Source organism: Homo sapiens, chromosome 13 (genome assembly GCF_000001405.40).
Source record: "Homo sapiens chromosome 13, GRCh38.p14 Primary Assembly".
Classification (NCBI taxonomy): domain Eukaryota; kingdom Metazoa; phylum Chordata; class Mammalia; order Primates; family Hominidae; genus Homo; species Homo sapiens.
Genome location: NC_000013.11, coordinates 98,838,646 through 98,858,840, shown reverse-complemented (window position 1 = coordinate 98,858,840; position 20,195 = coordinate 98,838,646). Strand labels below are relative to the sequence as shown.

Genomic DNA, 20,195 nt, shown 5'->3' with positions numbered 1-20,195 from the left:
TTGGGGACTTCTTTAGAACTTGGAGATAGGCCACTGGGGATCTTTAGCATCATAGCCTCCAATTGCTCCGCACTGACATTGCAGCTGTGAAAAGTACTTGAAACTGACTTAATCCTTTTTCACTCTTGAATTTTAAGATCCAAATCCACTTTTCATAGGAATTCACCTCGACAGGCTTATTATACTCAGGTTATCTATATTGCCTCCTTTCTTGAAGATTTAAATCCCTGTTCTCTTTTAGGAGTACCTTCCAGGGAAGCCTCATCTTTGAACTGGGTTTACTAGTTTTTTTCTGGCAGCTTTAACAATTCTTTGTTCATCAGGGAGTTTCTAGCTAATTTTAGTCCTGGTGCTTCTCCTTCAAGAGCAAACTCTCCTTACATCTCTGTTAGAAGAATCCTGTTTCCACACATACTGAGAATGTGCCGTCACAGTTTTTTAAATGTCTTTGGATCATGGTGCCTGAGAGTTTTAAAAGTGATTCACTGCCTGGATAAAAACTACTCTGAGATTACATTCATTTTAAAAGGCAAGCGTCCTGAGGCTCAGGGTTTCTTTTTCCACCTACTCAGTGGTACCAAGGGAAGAGGGACGAATTTATCTTCTTTTCATTTTACTCAAGTGTCGTTTAAGGACTTTAAAAGCTATGCACTGGGCCAGGATATTAAATACAAACACATACACAAAGACATAAAAATAGGAACAAACTAAGCATATTGATTTTGATATATTGCATTTCCATCTGTTTGTCTTAAATTAGGACTCTAGTTCTGGAATCAAGCTTGAGACTCTGAGAACTTAGGGCCTAATTTTACTTTACTGAGGACCTCTTTCTCTTGAGTTCTGTGTTCTTTTTCATGACTTCTGTGTTCTTCAAATGCTGTTCTACATTAAATATGAAATATGATTATATTAGAAAAATTATAATTTGGTCATAGCATGTGTTTCTTATCTGAGTACAGAAAAAGGCCATAGTTTTTTCACAGGGTTTTTACCTGTCCCTTGCGACAATCATTCACATGGTTTCTCTCCTGGGGAGACGCAGCCACTGGCTGACAATAAGGCTTAATGAAACCATGTTCAAGCCTTTGCTTCTTTTTTCAAATTCTCCTGGCTCTTCTTTTCTTGATCTTTAATACACTGAATCAGTTTCAGGGATAGCAGTGAATAAATCTGAGTGTTCAACAGAGGGAAGGATTTATGACCTTGATGTCACAGGTCTTCCTTCTAAGGTTAAAGAGTTAAAGACTGACCAGGCACGGTGGCTCATGCCTGTAATCCCAGCACTTTGGGAGGCCGAGGTGGGCAGATCACCTGAGGTCAGGAGTTCGACACCAGCCTGGCCAACATGGTGAAAACCCGTCTCTACTAGAAATACAAAAAAATTAGCCAGGGTTGGTGGCAGTCGCCTGTAATCACAGCTACTTGGGAGGCTGAGGCAGAGGAGTCACTTTCAAATATACTTTTGGTGTAACCTAGAGGCTGGCTATATTTATTTTGTTGTTTATTTATTTTTTAACTTAGAAGTATCCCAGTCCATGGCAGCTCATTTGCCTACTGAGATCTGAAAACAACCAGCCTGTTGTGAAGTGCCAAGTAATGGCATCTTCAGCTTGCGTCTGGGAGAATGTGTGCTCACAGCTGCCAGACACAGAGTCCAAATCTCCTGATGCCATCTGCCAAACCAGCCAGGCCTTTCCGCTGGAGGCACGCCTTTTGGTTCAGCACGGAATGTACAAGTCCAAAGAGTCGTTTTAAATTATGTGATTTATTTAAATCTTATCTAAGCAGGAAGTCAATCTATTACCTTAAAAAATTCCATAGTACCAAGATAGGGAGTGATTTCTGCCTTCAAATACTGTTTTTTTCATGGACATCACAAATTTTATTTCCACATTAGATTTCCTTTCTGCTCATAGTTGTTTATAGCAGATTCCCAGATATTCCCCGTTCACAGCACCCTTAGTGTCACTTTATTTCGTGGCATCCCTAGGCTGAAAGACACACCCAGCAGTTCTCTTTATTAGGTACTTAGGACCAAATAACTTAATAAGTACTTACATCCTAACAATTTAGTAGGCACTTAAAAGAAATAATACACATAAATTTAAAGGAAACAATTAATTTTATTTTTAATAACCACAACTCACTACAAATGGGTGGTGTGTACCTGTTGGACACTGACAGCTTCTCAGCCTTTGGGTCAGATTGGCCAGCACCATTCGCATTTCCTGTCCCTCATTGATTACTTGCCTTTTATCATAGCAGGCCCCCAAATACCCAGCTTCACAAATATGTCTTCAAAAGGAGCATAGCACAACCTGCTGCTGAAACAGCAGCTTCTGGCTGAGGTCACATATCACTGTGTTCTCCTCGAAAATTTAAAATACCCCATGACACCCCTCAGAGTTGGGTAGGCTCCTCAGTGTTTATTACCAGTTTGAATGCTACAAGTTTGTTGTGTGGTTTAATTTTGTGATTTGATAGTTGTAGGTGGATTTATCTTTTAATTTTTTTAAGTCTTCATTCTATCACATTCTGAAACAGGTATGCATTTAGTCTTTAGCGATCAAAGGTGGTTTCTAACAAGTGAATTGATGTTTACATCTGAATGTTTCAGACTAGTTTCTTTTTATCTCATTGTATATGACCTGGTTCTTTAAAGGTGAAGTAATGGAATGCAACTCTTGAGCCAACTTCCTAACAGAAAAAATAAGTGCAATAAAAGCAATTTCCCTTAAAGTTCAGTACTCATCTTTATTTTGTTCTGTCTTAATAAAACTTTATTGTTGGCTTGATTTCCATTTAGCTTCTCCATATACAACCTCAACTCCAAACATCAACAGTGTGAGAAATGCTGATTCGAGAGGATCTCTCATAAGCACAGATTCGGGTAACAGCCTTCCAGAAAGGAATAGTGAGAAGAGCAATTCCCTGGATAAGGTAATTGCTTTTCACCCAACACAAATGTTTCTTATAATCAATGGATTTAGCCCAAAGTAAACGTACTTCATGTTCTAGTGCCTTTTAAGTGTGACCTTTTGTTTTTTTCTAAACCACCCGGCTGACCTGGAGTAGGTGATGAGAGCTTTAAGGTTGGGGCCCATTCCTTGAAGTGCTCTGATTCCTGTTTCCAGTACCTCAGATCCTGGGCAGGGTTTGCAGTGGAGCGTCTTGAGTGAATGGCTCTGGTGGGTTGAACGGGGAGGGACTCAAAATGCTGCCCATCTCAATTTCCTGTAGTCTTTTTATTTATTTATTTATTTTTTGAGACAGAGTCTCGCTCTGTCGCCCAGGCTGGAGTACAGCGGCACGATCTCAATTCACTGCAACCTCCGCCTCCTGGGTTCAAACGACTCCTCTGCCTCAGCCTCCCCAGCAGCTGGGACCACAGGCACAAGCCACCACGCCCGGCTAATTTTTGTATTTTTAGTAGAGATGGGGTTTCACCATATTGGCCAGGCTGGGCTCAAACTCCTGACCTCGTCATCCGCCCGCCTCGGCCTCCCAAAGTGCTGGGATTACAGGCGTGAGCCACTACACCTGGCCAATTCCCTGTAGTCTTTATACCAGAGACACCATCATCAACACAGCTCTCCACCCACAAGGGTGTTAGGTCTGAAGCCAGCTCCAGAGAATAATTGATCATATAGGTGATTCAGGGGTAAGAAATCACTTTATTCACACAGCACGCACCCACAACACAACACTTCCTCCTCATACTTAGCCTTTTTTCTTGAAACTACTAAGTGCTCAGACCATTTGGAACTTTGTAGGAAAGGATAAAGTGTGGGTTTAAACCTGGAGCCATGGTAGATTGGTATCACTTTGGGCACAGATTTTCTAAGTTACTTCAAGTTACAGGCAAGTGCCCATCCCAATAAACAGCTGAGCCATTTAGGGATTTATCCCTAGTTCTCCAAAAACACCCGGAAGACATCCTTCCTCAGCATCAGGTTTATAATCTTGTCACGCATCCCATGGCTGGCATTGACATGGTTACCATTAAATGCAGTTCTGTTGAGGTGCGAGCAGCTCAGTTTGGGTGTGTCATGACGTATTGAACTTTTCCCTTGACCCCAACATGCCTTCATGTATAGAGGGAGAAGCTGCTCCGAAGGCACTCTGCTTGTGTCATACGCAGTGCTGAAGAGGAGGAGGAGAGCTGCCAGTCAGCCAGGAAAAACCGGGTCACTGTGGATTTTTCCCTTCTAATGATTCCACCTTTGCCAGAGGAGACATTGAATGCAACACCTTCCCTCCCACTGCCGGAAGTACTAAGTTCTCCAGTGGCTCTGATCAAGTGGGCAGGCCAGAGGGTGCATCCATACCAGTTTTGCCACTAATTTCCCCTGTATTTTTTTGTAAATGAAAATATTCACATATTTTATTAAGCCTGATATATATATGTATATATATACACACACACACACACGCATAATTTTTTTTTCAATTGGCCACCAGCACCTTGAATAAAACATCTTTTTTCCACTATTGTTTTTGCTTTGATATTTGGTAAAAAAATTTTTTTTATTTCAATTGGAAATTCAACTGGGAGAGTTTTTAAATCTCCTGTGTTTGCAATCACATGATGAGATTCTTGTTCTGCTTTTTTTCCACAAGAACCTGCTGCCTAGTGGCAAAATTGCCCTCTTGTTTGCCCCAAGCTTTCTGACGTTTGCAGTGTTGAGCTAAGCTGATGAGGGAGTGACCTCATCAGTTTAGGACCTCTGGCCATGCTGTGCTGACGTGTCCCTGTTTGTCCCGGTTGGGCACCTGCCTATTGTGTTCCCTGAGCAGTGCCCACAGCACGCCCCATAATGCACCCTGGGTGATGGCGCCTGGGCTCCAGGTTCTGGGGTGCTTTGGTCACAGCAGCACCACAGGCACTTGCTGTTTCAGCCACGGCTGTTGTCCTCAGGAGGTGGTTGGTTGTGCAGTGTCTTCTGAGTCATGGTTTCTGTTCTTGATCCTAGCACACATACTTTCTTGCATGAGGTTTCAATATACTTGGCATCTCAGAAGGTTTTACTTGGCATAGCTAAAGCTGTGTTTATCCAGTGAGAAAGGTCTGTGCCTTCTGCTTGTCCCTCAGGAGAGCGTGCTGAGGAGACAAGCTAGGGCTTCCATGGGCAGCATCTGAGTGTGTTATATTTGGGCGAAAGGGTGCCTGTGGTTTAATTGTCAGCAAGTTACTTGCACCTTCCAATGTGTATGATCTGACTTGATTCTAAGAGTCTTTCTCTTCCAAGGGAGAAAAGGGAAACACGTTTTCCTCCCGTAATTAAATAGAAAAATCACCTGTATTTTCTTTTTAGCACCAACAAAGTAGCACATTGGGAAATTCCGTGGTTCGCTGTGATAAACTTGACCAGTCTGAGATTAAGAGCCTACTGATGTGTTTCCTCTACATCTTAAAGAGCATGTCTGATGGTAGGTTAAAAAATGGAGATTTCTGTTTTGCTCGTTTCAGCACTTGGTTTGTTTGGTTTTAACTTGTAATAAGTTGAAATGATACAAAGATTTCAAAGGATTTTCTTGTTTAAAATGCATATTCATTGACTAAATGTAATTGTTAAAATGCAATTCATTGACTAAGGTTCTTAGAAATAAGAACCTTATTGTGGGAAAATCATTTCCTTAATTATTTTATTCTAGAAAATGAGTTCCAAAATGTGAATGGGCCTATTTCTTAAATTTATATTAAACTGGGACCTGCCATCTTAACTAAAGGAGATAGAAGCACATAAATAAAATAGCTTTTGGCTTTAAAAAAAATTTTTATTCGTCCAGACAAACTTACTGTCAACTTAAATAACTGTGTTAGTCTCTGGAATTAGAATATATGTTGTGGGGGGACCTAAGCATTCCTTCCATTTAGAGTGTGTATATTCCTGGCTCAAAGTGGGAGATATGTTATTTTAGTTTTCTAATGGAAATGGTAGTATCATAGTAGATTATGTTTCTGTTTAAGGGTTTGACAACCACATTTTAAAATAAGAATGAGCAGAACTATGAATGCTCTATCTGGACCGTATAAGGCTTGCAAATGTGTGTGACAGGACAGTTTCAACTCTGTTAGCTCATCTGTGTATCTGGCTATGTAATATAAACAATCCCAGTAAACAATGTCGCAGTTCTTATCCTGGGCAAAAATCTTATTTTTCCTACAACGAATTAAAAGGTGTGCTGTGAACTTCATTAAGGTGATTGAATTAGGATGAACTCTCCTAAAAACAAAGTGCCATTTTTTGAGAACCTGAAGGCCTCTTGTGCTGCTTATATCTGGGGGCGGGAGGTGTGTACTAAACATCCAGTGGAAGGTATTTCTGCTTGAAAATAGTATTTCTTTTAGATCAAGCTTCCATTTCAGCAGCATTAACAGCCTGGCTTTTTTTTTTCCCCAACCCCAGCCAAGGTACAGCCTGACTTTTTAGCTCAGATGGTAGGAAAATCCCTCTTGCCCTTAAAATAAAGACTGGGTAATTCGTTCTTCTGTTGATTTGTTACTTTAAAATGCTAGTTTTTAAAAAAGAACAGACGAGCAAGAGTTTCCCTGAATGATGACCAAATACACTAGCACAGGGCACTTAGTCTCATATTTGGGTTTATAAAGTTGAAATTCTTCCCATTAAGTCAAAAGTTCTAAACTTTGCTTCATGGTAATAATGAGTTTCAGCGAGCATTATAATTCTGTTTTTCCTTTGTTTAAAGTTTTCTTTAAAAATATTTTAAATTTCAAATATTGAATATGACCTATAATAAGAACATAACTGCTTTTTGAAGACAAATATACAAGAACATTTGAATTCAAGTAAAAGTTATTCTTTAAAGTCATACACATATTTTTAAAATGCAACCACCTCTTCAAAACAATTTTAGAATATATTTTTCTCTCAATTTTCTTCAAGTTATCGATTGTTTTCCCTTTATAATTAGAATTTGTGTGTGTGTGCATCCCATTTAAGAAATCTTCTCCTACTCCCAGGGTCATGAAAATATTCTCATATTTTCTTTGAAAGCAGTGTTATTTAAATTTTCACATTGAACTCTAAAAATCTACCTACAATTGGCTTTTGTGTGTCATATGGGTTAGGGGGAGAAATTGCCTCCAGAGATGGTTAACACAGAGAAAACCAAAATCAGTTGTGTAACTCTGTAGCTACTCTTTCATTTATTCCACATTTAATGAGCACCTTCTACATGCTGGGCCCCTCCTTGCTGTCCTTCTTGTGCCATTTCCCTCTTCACAGAGCTTATCTTTGTCTTCCCACTCTCCCCAACCAGTACCTGGGGCCCAGAGCAGTGAATGGCAGCGTCATTGCCCATGCCGCTGGCCGCTTCGTCTGGTGTGTGCTGAGGGTGGCCACAGGGGTCTGCAGGGTGGTCCCACCAGGCTCTCCAGCATGCACTGAGCTCCCCGGGGGCTCACCATACCCTGATGGCCAGCCTCAAGTAGCCAGAGTCTGTTCCTCTGGAATCTAAACTTGAAACCCCTAAAGATGGAAGCCCATGACCTACCCTTATTACTGGTCTAATAGGCCAAGCGGCCTTTAGAATCAGATGCACGCGATTTAAATCCCCACTCAGCCATGATTCTTCAGACTGGTAAATGGGAGAATTACTTTACTTCTCTGAGCCTCTGTTAGCTCATCTGTAAATGGGGACTTTCTTCTGCCCCAGATTATGGTGAGGATTAGATGGCACAATCTATGTGAAATTGTGAGAGCACGTAGTACAGTGCCTGGCACACAACAGATTCTCAGTCTATATGCCATGTCATTCCTGCCTATCATTGTTCTTGGCAAGTGTAGAGTGAAAGCCTGTGGCCATACATCTTCATGAGCCATCAGCATCCCCATAGCCACCGTCTCTGCTTATCTCAGGCCCCAAAGACTCTGGCTTTTTCCCTAAGAGAAACCTCTTTACCTATTTCTCAACCTCAGTGTAAAATATAAGAATGCAAAAAAGGTTAGCTATTAGATGATAGAACTCAAACGATGGTAATACTAAACTGTTAAGGGTTCACACAGAGGTTTAAATGCACATACCATTGGGTACAGCTGTTTCGCTTCAGAGAACTTATCCTGTAGGTATAGTTAGACATGCATGCAAAGACCCACATAAAAGGATGTTCATTGAAACATAATTATAATAGCAAAAAGTTAGGGGAGAGAAACAGTAACTGCCTATCAGTAGGAGACTAGTTAACTCAATTATGGTCTATCCACATAGAGGAATATTATGCAACTTGGGAAAACTTGAGATAGATCCAAGCTATATTGTTCAGTTAAAACTCAGAGAGCAAAATTATGTGTGTAATATGCAAAGATTTTCAACAAATTCCCTGTTGGGGAGAGATCCTGTAGTAGGAGACAAGAGAGCCCGGCTTTAGGTTATATGTCCACTTGTATTCTTTGAATTTTCTAGTCTATTTAAGAGCATGTTACGAATAAGTTAAATGAGCATTATGCCAGAATATAGCACTAAATGACGTATGATGGAATTAAAGTTCAAATGCAGCATGTTGAAGGTGAATAGGCCTCAGGTGTGTGATACCCAGTGTAGAGTGGTCAGCTATAAAAGAGGGCAGGGGAAGGGTTTAGAGGCCTACACTCCAGGGTTTAGAGGCCTACACTCCAAGGTTCCTTCCCATTTTCACAACAGGTGATTCTCCATAATGTATATCATATGTATTGTGATTCTAAGTAAATGTTTATTTTCTAGATGCTTTGTTTACATATTGGAACAAGGCTTCAACATCTGAACTTATGGATTTTTTTACAATATCTGAGTAAGTAGCTTTCTCTTTGATCACTGCCTCTTGATTTTTTCCTGGATCATTAAGAGGCTTGAAGAATACTATGTAGTTGAACCAGAGGAGTAGTGTATGTCACATCCTCACTTACTCCTTAAGCCCTTTCTCATGGTCTTGGCCCTAAAACATATTTTCAGGGCTTGTGACCCAGTGATCAGTGGTCACCCTTAAAGTATTACAGATACGTGCCTGTTTTACATGAGAGGTAACTGTTTATGTGTATAAGTCATCTTAATAAAATAACATGAAATTTATTAGCTGAATTGGGTAGATACTGCTTTTCTAAGTTGAACCTAACTTAAGCTGATGCAGAAACTGAGTCAGAAAAGTTGCTATAATTTTAAAATATAAGAAGTAAAAGTGAAATCTTATGTAGCATCTTTATCTCATTTTGGTTTGTCAGTATAAGTTTCTGATTTCCTTTAAGCTCTTTACTTTTAGAAACGTGAATTTACAATCCCTTATCCAAAACTGCTGGGGCCAGATGATTTTCCAAATTCAGAACTTTTTGGATTTCTGAAAAATTTACATATAGACTGTATCCCATTACATCCCAGCAGCATCTCTCTATAATAAAAAAAAAAAAAAGAATTTCTGCAGAACTATTATTGTTCATAATAATTGAATAAATCATAACTAAAAGTAGCTTTATGTCTATTATTTTGGGTCATATTTTGGTGCCAAATGTATTTGCATGAACTCAGGAGGAAAGCTGGTTTTCAGAGTTTCATGCATTTTGGAACTACAGATGAGAGACTGTGGGCCTGGCCCTCAGTGGACGCTTGGCTCATAGTCTCCTGACCTCTGCTGAGTTAAAGGCGGGAGTTATGTGGTGAAACGAGATTCAACACCAGAGGAGCTCACTAGACATTGTTTTAACTACCTCATTAAATACATGATTAAAAAAAAATGTTGTTAGATATATATTTTTAAAAACTACACACTTGGTGTGTATAATCCATATATTTGAGCCAAAAGAGAGAGCTCCTTATATAGATGTAAATGAGGATGAATAAGTAACTTGGAACAGTGTGCATGGTCTTGAACATGTTTTCTCGGGCACACTGCCGTGGAGTGAATCACTACCTCTGAGTCGATGGACGATCCTGTCGGTCGTGGGCCTCTGCGCTGTGTTGCTTTAGCCAGCCACCACCACACTGACAGCTACACAGGATGGGGCTTCCCTCACAGGTTAATAAATTTCTCTGGGTTTGAAGGCACTTTCCAGAGGACTCCCAAAAACCATTCTGAATGAATGAGGATGTGACTTATGCTGGTACTAGACATAATGTTTATTGAATTTGTTATTGTTAACAGATAAATAACGTCCCGAAAATAATTTTATCTTTGCATTTCCCTAATAATTTTTCATCTTGCCTGCAGAGTCTGCCTGCACCAGTTCCAGTACATGGGGAAGCGATACATAGCCAGGTACTGTGGGGCGTTTTCATTCGAAACGTGTTGTTTTCTGTGATGCCTGGCTCTGATTGTGTGGGATTGGTCATCAGTGGCGGTTGGCAGTTGGGGTTCATGGAAGCGGCCATGGGGACTGATGGCAGGCCCTTGGATTGCCACCGCAGAGCCTGGCAGTGTCTTTGGTCTGCATTCCTACCGGCGAAGTCTCATTTCACCTCACGTGTTATCTCTTGGAAAGCATTCCTTTAGCGGGCTGTGTCTACCCTTCCATCCTCTCGTCCAAACTCCCCCTCCTTCTCTGTTCTGTCTCCTTCCCATCCTCTTCTCCCCAGTTCTTCTTCCTATGTTCCTTCCTCAGTGGTTTCTCTTCCTCTGTTTGACTTTCCAAGGTCATTTTGACTGTTCCTGCTCCCAACTACAAAGATACTAAAATCTCACCTAACCACTCTTCTTCTTTCTTAATGAAAGAATGTTTTCAGTCCATCCCAAATTTGTGTGGACTTCCACAAACCTTCTCTAAAATGGAGCCTTTTCTCTTCCTACTCTTGACTAGTTGGTAAACGCTCCATGTTCTTGGCCAGAACTCCCTGGTGAGTAGCGTCACTCCCACTTTCCTGTGCAGAACCAGCCTCCTAGAAACTCCTTGCAGCTGTGTGGCTGGACACGCCTTCTTTGGGGGCGTTTCTTCGCAGCACCTCTTGTCCTTACCAAGTTCTTCCTCCTGCCCCACTGCCATTCAGATTGTCTGTTTGTTTTTTTCTGTGTTGTGAGCCATTCTGTGTTATTGTATTAGTGGGGTCTTGGTCTAAGTATTATATTTTTTTACTGTTGTTTTTAACAGCTTTATTATAAGTAAACATGTTTTAAGAAAAACTTAAAAATGTAATTGTCATTGAGGTTTGTTTCTCTATATATCGACAATTTTGTCTTATAGTGATGAAATAGGCCAGAGATTTTTAGTAGACTTCCTCTTTGTGAAGATTTTCTTTTTCTGTTAACATTGTTCTTTTCTGGGGATATTTGAGAAATTTTCAGAATTACATTTTATGTTAAGAAGTAAACATGTATGTTTTCTTTTTAAAAGAAGCAAATTTAGAATTTTTGCATTTTCCTCCTATTAATATTTTCTATTTTTCATTGAAATGTGGTAGCACTTAAAGTTCTCTAATCTTAACTGTTTTATTTTTTATCACAACAGTAATTTTATATTTGAGTTTTGGAGTACTAAATGCAAGTATATACAAGGTGTCCTTATACCAGCAACGTCTTCTACCTTGACTTGGATTCTCCCTGACTTTGTCCCATGAAGATGGGCAAACAGTAAATTCTGTCACAGAAAGGCACTGTGCTGGGCTAGCTTCACTTTTTGCAGTGACACCTACGTCACAAGATGGCATTTGGAGAATATTGTGCCAAGTAGAATAAAATGCCTCACAGCTTAAAACAGTGAATGTGAGAAGCTGAAGATTTCTGTCCCAACAAAATGTTTTAGAATCGGGTTTTGTGAAATGGTTAACGTATTTTTTTCAGTGGATATAAATTTAACTTCTTAAAAGAAAATCTTCCTACTTCATAAGCACCCTGTATATATTTGCATATAAAAGTGTGGACTGCCTTAAAAATAGATGGGCCAAGGAAAACAGGAGTGGAGATGATGTGACTTTGCTCCATGCACTGTGGAAAGATATGCTCTGCTCTATACAAAAATTGCCATGGTTCTCTGCTGCATGTGAAAAAGATCCTGAACTAGACTGTGAACCTTGTACATGTTTGCCATCCACGGTGGTCGAGTTTGATGAACACTGTGCCTTCTTATTGTCACTTTGAAGTCACCCAGCAGCATGCAGTCGATGATAGTCCATGCATGTCCCTGTTCTCCTACACACAATAACACAGTGAGGGGGACGGTTGGCTCCGGGACAGGGGACAGGTGTCATTGCAGCCCTGGTCTCATTTTCATCTGCTCTGGTGATGGTACACAGCAGGAAGTTAGCTGTTTGATTGCTAACCCAAATCACTCTTCTGTTTTCTCTACTTGACTGCTGACAAGTTTAACAAAGTGTGTGGCTCTTCTCCTTCCTGCTTGGGTAAGAATAAAGGTGTTAAAACTCATATAATCCCTTCCTTTGCATGTTTGTTCTCTGTGTCTTCCAATGCATTTTTTAATTAAAAAAAATACATGTCTTTTGCTTTTTCAGAACATATATAATCCAAAAAGATTAGTGACGTTTTGACAGTCGTCAGAACACTAACCATTAGTACTGCATTGGAGTGATGCTCACTTTTTTCAGAGTAGCATCTCTAAAGTACTTTCTAAAAATAAAAAGGTCCCTGCTTTGGCCTGATTTTTGCTTCTGGATCATCAGGTGCTTTGCCGTGAAGTGTGCAGGAGCTGCCGCCTGTCTGTGTCTCTGGCTGCTCCACTGTGTTCAGTCAGTGCATGGCCATCTCCCTCGTGCCATGTTCTGGCTTCACTAACACTCCCCGTCTCGCTGCAGTGTAACACGTCTAACTTTTGCTTCTATCCCATTTCACTCATGTTGCAGGAACCAGGAGGGGTTGGGACCCATAGTTCATGATCGAAAGTCTCAGACATTGCCTGTTTCCCGTAACAGAACAGGAATGATGCATGCCAGATTGCAGCAGCTGGGCAGCCTGGATAACTCTCTCACTTTTAACCACAGTAAGTCCCATGACATGCCATCGTAACAGCCAGCCATCTCATGTGCCATCTCAGAGGGGAGAGCCCTAGGCCACACCTACCACATCACCAACTCAATTTTTCTTCTAGCTCAAAGCAAGTAGGATGAAGAGCTCATGGCACAGTTCCCTTCCTTGGAGGAGCGTCCTCAGCATTTGGGAGTGACACAATGTGGAACGTGCTCAACTACAGCACTAAACCTAAAAGTGCCTGACCCTTTCTGCATCCCTAAAACAAAACTCGGCTGGGTCCATAGCCAGCCGTTCTCAAGAATTCTAAACATAAAATTTGGATTCATCACCTAGAACCGACTTAATGTTGGCTTTCCCCTGCAACTCTGAGAACATTCGGGATGGATTTCTTTCACCCCTTCTGATCCTGTGCATGTAATTGATCAAGCGTCCACATTCTGACATTCCAGCTCTGAATGGATGTTAATCCTTGCACTACTGTGAAAACATAAAGCCCATGAATCAATTTGTGAGGGTGTGGAAAAGCATCCAATAACAAAGTGACTTTTTCTGTGTTTTCAGTGTGAGAAAGATATCAAGTGTGCTTGGAATTTCTGTAGACAATGGTAAGATTTAATCAGGTTGAAGTCTGCTTTATGAGGTTGCTTCACTTGCAAGCCAAGACCCTTTTTGTTCATCTTGCCTTCCTAACTTTGGGGCTTTCTAACTTTACAAAAGAGATTCTGCCAGAACAGGGGAGCATATTTTTAATTTACTTTTATCAGTCAGCAGAGGGGACAAGGCATTGTGTGCTGTTTCTAGTAATTTAAGTGCTTTATCTTCTTAAGGGTTTCTCAAAGCAGAACACCTGAAAGATATCAACCATACAGCACGTGAAAAATTGATGAGATCATTTATAATACCCATTTCTGCTAGCATTGTGTTCTCTAAATTGTTCCATCTCTTCTCCAAGCATGACACAGCTAGTTATTGTTTTATCTCAACAATTATTTGTTATTCCAAGTGCTGTCTTTAATACATGGTTATTAATATCCTTCCATCATGTCTAATAATAAATTCCATTCGCTGTGATTTTTCACACCTCTTTTTAAAATACAGGCCAACAGTAAAGGCAGTGTTCCCAATGCATTGTATTAATAATAGTTCAAAGTAAGACACCTGAGGAACCAAAACAAAGCAGCTTCCCACACCTCTGACCCAGCAACGTGGGCATTATGAAGATTGTCCGGGTGCAGTTTAAGTGTTATGAAGATTGGCTGGGCATGGTGGCTCATGCCTGTAATCCCAACACTTTGGGAGGCCAAGCTGCTGGTGGCCAAGCAGCAGGTGGATCACTTGAGACCAGGAGTTCGAGACCAGCCTGGCCAACATGGTGAAACCCCGTCTCTACTAAAAATACAAAAACTAGTCAGGCTTATTGGCACACACATGTAATCCCAGCTACTGGGGAGGCTGAGACATGAAATCACTTGAACCTGGGGGGCTGAGGTTGCAGTGAGCTAAGACTGTGCCACTGCACTCCAGCCTGGGTGACAGAACAAGACCCTATCTCAAAAAAAAAATAAAAAAAATAAAAAATGTTATGAAGATAGTCTGTCTTGATAAAATCCCAGGCTTAATTTAGATAATGTCAGTCTGCCACACGGAGTTGGTAGCCATAAAATGCTACTTCTGAGTTCTACACTTAGCTGTAGAATGCAAATTGAGTGACACCTTTAAGGCTACAGTACTTGATTTTTTAACATCTTTTCTGTTGGGGCTTTGACTAGTTCTGCAGAAAGGGATTGGAACAAAACCAGGAGTTTGTTATTTTTAGTTTTTCTTTGCCATTTAGCAGCAGAAATTCAATCCCCACTGATAAACAGAACCTGCTGGACCTCCTTTGCTCAGATAATTTCTATAACACAGAGGTTAACTCACTATTGGTTGAAATAAATGCTTAAACTTTGAAGCACTTTTTAAAAAATCATAAGTACACCAGTGCTGCACCTCCAATGATAATCATTTAGGAAACACAGAAAACAAAAATTAAATGAATGGTCCACATGTGAATAAATAACCTTAATCCACTCGGATATGCAGCAGCTCTTCCCACTGCAAATGGGTTTTGTGGTGGTAACTTGAATTGGAGGAGAGAGACAGCTGGCCTGGTGCTGCTGCTGCTGCCAAAAGCCATCTTGTTAACATGGTTTATTTCCATTCTGTCTTCCTGCTACCCACAAGAGCCCTGTCCTCCTGTCTCCCTCCTCTTTCATCAGTTTTCAGTGGCATACTGTCCTCAGTCACATTTCTCCTGCTTTGCCAGTAAACAGCATGTAGCTGATTCTTCTAGTCCTCGCCTGCATTCCTACAATTCCTGCTCATTCCGAATTGGTTCTGTTATCTCCTAAGTTGTTGCAACTCCTAGAACTCAGCCTTCTTTTACATCTCCAATTCTCATTATGTGTTTGAATGGCTTCAGCTTTTCCCTCCGCTAGCTCTTTGAGCTCCAAATCATCAACTCAGACAAAAAACACAGAGAAGGGAGTGCATACTGTATGTACATGAACATGTTTGTGTGTGTGTTTTATATATATGTACATGTTTGTTTTCATCTCTACCTGGGTATTTTTTGGGAAATTTATGGCCATATGTCTTTAAAAAAAATCCCATTTAACAACAAATACAATACCTTCTGTTGGGCCAACCAATATGACATAGATCCAATATGTGAGAAAGTTGCCAGGGAACCCCAGGAGTCCAAAATGATTTTATTTCAGAAGAGAATAAAAATAGGAAGAGTCCCTGTACATCTGCATTGTTCATTTCCGCTATTTCTGTAGAGTAGGAAAGGCTTTGTCAGAACTCAGCTTGACCAGCAGGGAGCAGCAGAGGCCCATGGGAAACGGAATCCTTTGTAGGTCTGTCCCCATCACCACTGGTAACAGGACATGGAAGAAGGCACCACACGCACTGCACATGGAACTCCAGCAAGAACCTGTCTTTACTCTTTAATTTTGATAGGAAGTAGAATAGCAAATCCCCATGCCCAAATCCCGTGATGGCCAAGTAGTCTTAGCTATTTGAAAAACACCCTTAAAAGACAGGTTTGTTGTTTAGGCCATCACTCAGGTGTATGGAAAATAAACTTTAGAACACTTAGGCCTTGACATATTTAGTGTAATTTGTGCTCATTGTGTATCAGTGGAAGAGATTTGTGTCAAATAAAAAATTGAGAGTGATAGCACAAAACCACAAAGAGAGGGTACACTGTAGGTACATGAACATGCATATGTGTATATATGTGCATGTCTATAAACCACATTATGAGGTGAAAACTTAGTGAAATGTGTTTGAAAATAAGTGGTGCATTTGCAAAATATATATAAAATAACACTATGTTTACTTTGATGTCGTGTTGTTCTAGGAATACATCAAGTTCATTTGCATAATTCATATTTTCCACTGGTATAATGCAGGGAACACCAGCCAAGAGGTAGCAGCATGAAAAGAAAATCTGGATTTCATATAATTTGATCTAAAAGGCAGTTAAAGATTACTGGGTCAAGTTGCAGATAATATTTCAGATCAGAATCAGAAAGTATTTTCTAACTGAACTGGCCTTGAGTGGCATGTGCTGAGCTGCCTGTGAAGTTCATGTGGACACCTGCAGCTGGAGCTGTGCAAACAGACTGGAGGAGGCCCAGCTGGGGTATTGTCCAGGTCACTTAAGCATGCCATGAGGAGTTGGATGGCGTGGCTTGTCAGGCCCCATTTAACTCCGAAATGTCTTTGTTACCTAAAGCACAAGCAGGAAAATGAATATAGGTGATCATTAAATTCCTTTACTGTACATCATATTGAATTAATATGAAAAATACAGAGAATGTAGACATCTCTGAGTTAAAATATTTTCCAAAAGTTTTAAAGCATGGATAATATATCTTTAAAATTGGATAAAATGTGCTTGGATGCTTTAAACATATACTCAAAATAGTAAATAAATGTTTGTGGCCAGGCATGGTGGCTCATGCCTGTAATCTCAGCACTTTGGGAGGCTGAGACAGGCAGATCACTTGAAGTCAGGAGTTCGAAACCAGCCTGGACAACATGGTGAAACCCCGTCTCTACTAAAAACAAATAATAATAATAATAATAATGCAGAAAAATCTGGGCATGGTGGTGCATGCCTGTAATCCCAGCTACTCAGGAGGTTGAGGCAGGAGAATTGCTTGAACCCAGGAGGTGGAGGTTACAGTGAGCCGAGATCATGCCGCTGCACTCCAGCCTGGGTGACAAAGCGAGACTTCGTCTCCAAAAAAAAAAAAAAAAAAAAAATTTTGTTCATAAACAAGACACTTATTTCCTTGATTCTGAGATATGTTTCCTTGATTCTGAGGCACATTTTTGCACACTTTCTAGTATTTCCAAAGTTGGGTATATCTTACACATTACACTGGATATGGTAGTCTGTCATTGATTGGTATTTCTTGCAATTGATGGGGTCTCAGAGGTGAGCAGGTCTGATACAGTGTATGTTTAAAGTCAGTCATTTGTAATATCCTTACAGAGGATTTTAAGATGTGTGGTATGTTTAAACCAAGTATTTTCACTTGGGGCCTTTACTTCATATGAGGTCCCACTTTCAGATGCAACTCAACATTAGGTTTAAAAAAGACACAGGGAAGAGAAAGCTGATGGTATGACGCCTACCTCCTGAAGCATAAACTCTTAGATTACAGCCCGTGTCTCCACAAGGCATTCTGAGCATATTTGTTTTTTTTGTCTGTGGATCAAAGGGCAGATATCAAATGATATAAATTTTACCTTGGGGTATCACTATTTATTCTATTCTCTACTCTTTGCCAGTCTGTGAGGAAAACCTCTTTAGCAATAAAAATTGGATGGAAATGAATAATAGATTGTGTAGATATTGATCAGTTTGATATTTTGCAAAAATGTTTGAACTCAATAAAACCATATGCCATGAGTTAATAGGTATCTAGGAGACTAGGTCTTCTACATTTGGAGAGTTCTTTCAGCAAGAAAATTCCTTGTTATTTGGTATTTATATTTTCTCATAAGACTTACTGTGTTTCTGGATTCATGTTATGGGCTAGAGGGGAAAAAAGTCAAAATACGAACAAGAATTTTGGTTGCATAAAGAGTGAAGGTGGCTATCAACATGGAAGTGCCCCCTATAGGAATACGTCTCTGACCTACTCTTCTATCCCAAATGTCCTCTGGTATTCAGAAAAGGCATGTGGCCTCAGGCTTCTGTCCTGCCCACCACATTACCTCTGATGTCATGGTGGTGGGGAGGGAGGAGGTTCGCCGATGTGTCAGCATTATTCATTTGAACTATGCAGGTAACGTGAGTTTGTAGAACAGGGTTAGGTTAATTCAGTGTAGACAAATTTCATCTGTGGCCCCAGAGTATTTGAAAGATTTGGGGGCTTTAGAATAAGTCTTGTCAGAATGACAACAGAATGAAAATTGTATAAATTTGAGCAGTGAATCCGAAGGACCGTAAAGCATCCCGGGGCATGTGTGTCAGAGATAGCACGTCCCTGCAGAAGTCCTGCAGCTCTGTCCCTGAAGAGCCTGGCTGGAGCGAATCAGTGCAGGGCCCCAGGCACCACGGCCCCCTAGTGGAAATCAGTGTGCTTCACACCGCACTCCTTACTTGCCCGGGTCAAAAGCTGCTTAATCAGCTTTCAAAACATTGCCAACCCTTAGTTTAAATAATTTCTCTGCCTCTTCTTGGATTTACTAGCTCAGCTTCATTTTCCTGTGTTGGTCTATACCATGGTGATTGTTGATTCAAGTCCTCCTCCTGCACAGCTCTGTTCCAGGCCTTGAGACAGTCTCAGTCTCTGTGACTGGTTCAGCCTCTCTATGCTGCCAATTATTTTTAGGGATTTAAAAAAATAGCTCTAGCTCAGGAATCCTGCTGATTTTTTAGATGAAACAGTTGGAGGAAAAGCAAAGCATAACAATATGTGGCTAAAAGGACCATTTCTTTTAGATTCCTGTATGACTCAGGCAAGCGTACCGATGTCTGTATGAATCTGACTCTAAAGGAGAGTAGATGGTGTAATAACATTTCCCAGTACCATGTTTCCATATGTGTATACATAATTATATAATAACTTAATTAGCATAGTCCATTGATGGTATGTTTTAAAACAGCACATGGCCAAATTCTAATTTTTAATTGTTGCAGGCTTTCAGCCAGGAGTAGTTAAATTCTATGGGAGTTCTTCAGGCCATCTCATTGGTAATCATCACCTAGATGCACTTCACCTGTTGGTGATCTAGACCAAGAAAAGGACAGTTCTTTGCAGAGAAAGGAATTAAAATAAAGCCAGTTCCTTGTTAAAATTGAACCCAGACAAAAACTCATTCGGGGCAAATGGCAGCCCTCAGGAAAGGATCCCTTGGACCTGTATGATCATTTTGGTTGGTCTGATAACAGGTGTTGTATTTCTTGTGTGTGCCCTCTTACCACAGTATGTGATCACTTTAACAGTCATCATCGACCTGTTTGTTTTCCTCTTTCATTGTCTCTGTATCTTACCAAACAACCTCGCTGAATAAAGTCATGCCTTGGATTACCATCATGGCAGTACAAGTAACATTAGTACCCCAACATATCCACCTTTATTTTCTCTGGGAGATTTCGTACCCCAAAAGCAAAAAATGAAATAGAACTAGCATGGTGCGAGATGTGTTACAGATCCTCACTAAATTTGGAGAGACGTTGGCTGTGCTGCAGAGTGGAAGTGATGTGATCCACAACAGGATCTCAGCACCACCTTTGTAAAAGCAAAGCAGCATTGGATAAAAGCACACAACAGCATTTCTATCATATTTTAAAAAGCACTTCTGTAGCTTTTAAAGCTCTTCTGTAGCCTTTTAAAAACCACTCTATAATTCTGACATTTGAGTCAGAATGATGTCATGCTAGTTACTTGATTTTCTCCCAATAATATGTACTATGATACAGTGACCTGGATAAGGAATTTGGAGTGTAGATTCTGTTTTTTTCCCATTACTGGTCTCAAGAACATTCCCTAGGTTTTCTGTACTTCATTTTCTTGATCTATGTACAAAATGTCCTCCTCTCTGGAGTATTAGGAAAATTACTTAAGTAATGAGGCGTCGCTTTAATTTTGCTCCTTGGAGAAAGACATTACATGGTGTTTTATTATATTGCCATCTTTCTTTGTAATCTAGATCAATACTGTAACATCTTTGCATCCCTATATGTATTTCTGCTAATGCATACCATTTCATAATTTAATCT

At 40.3% G+C, this 20,195-nt stretch overlaps 1 protein-coding gene across 41 annotated transcripts in view, besides 1 other annotated feature; it reads left to right on the top strand.

Annotated features, from left to right (window-relative positions):
• DOCK9 (dedicator of cytokinesis 9) overlaps positions 1–20,195 on the top strand; it is a 295,191-nt gene that overhangs the window by 229,779 nt on the left and 45,217 nt on the right. For 16 of the 41 annotated variants that reach the window (XM_047430231.1, XM_005254034.4, XM_047430234.1 and 13 more), the window contains exons 34-38: positions 2,810–2,943; positions 5,319–5,433; positions 8,728–8,794; positions 10,202–10,249; positions 12,781–12,917. In XM_047430231.1, the coding sequence (XP_047286187.1) occupies positions 2,810–2,943; positions 5,319–5,433; positions 8,728–8,794; positions 10,202–10,249; positions 12,781–12,917 (501 nt within the window). Of the gene's footprint in view, positions 1–2,809; positions 2,944–5,318; positions 5,434–8,727; positions 8,795–10,201; positions 10,250–12,780; positions 12,918–13,468; positions 13,513–20,195 lie in introns of all 41 variants that reach the window. The other 25 variants (XM_006719937.4, NM_001318849.2, XM_047430235.1 and 22 more) reach the window with 2 other exon arrangements.
• Positions 4,723–5,032: an enhancer, noted in NCBI's record as "active region_7922". NCBI's record gives its function as "activates an Ori minimal core promoter by ATAC-STARR-seq in GM12878 lymphoblastoid cells {active_cell/tissue: GM12878}" and the evidence as "EXISTENCE:reporter gene assay evidence [ECO:0000049][PMID:35858748]".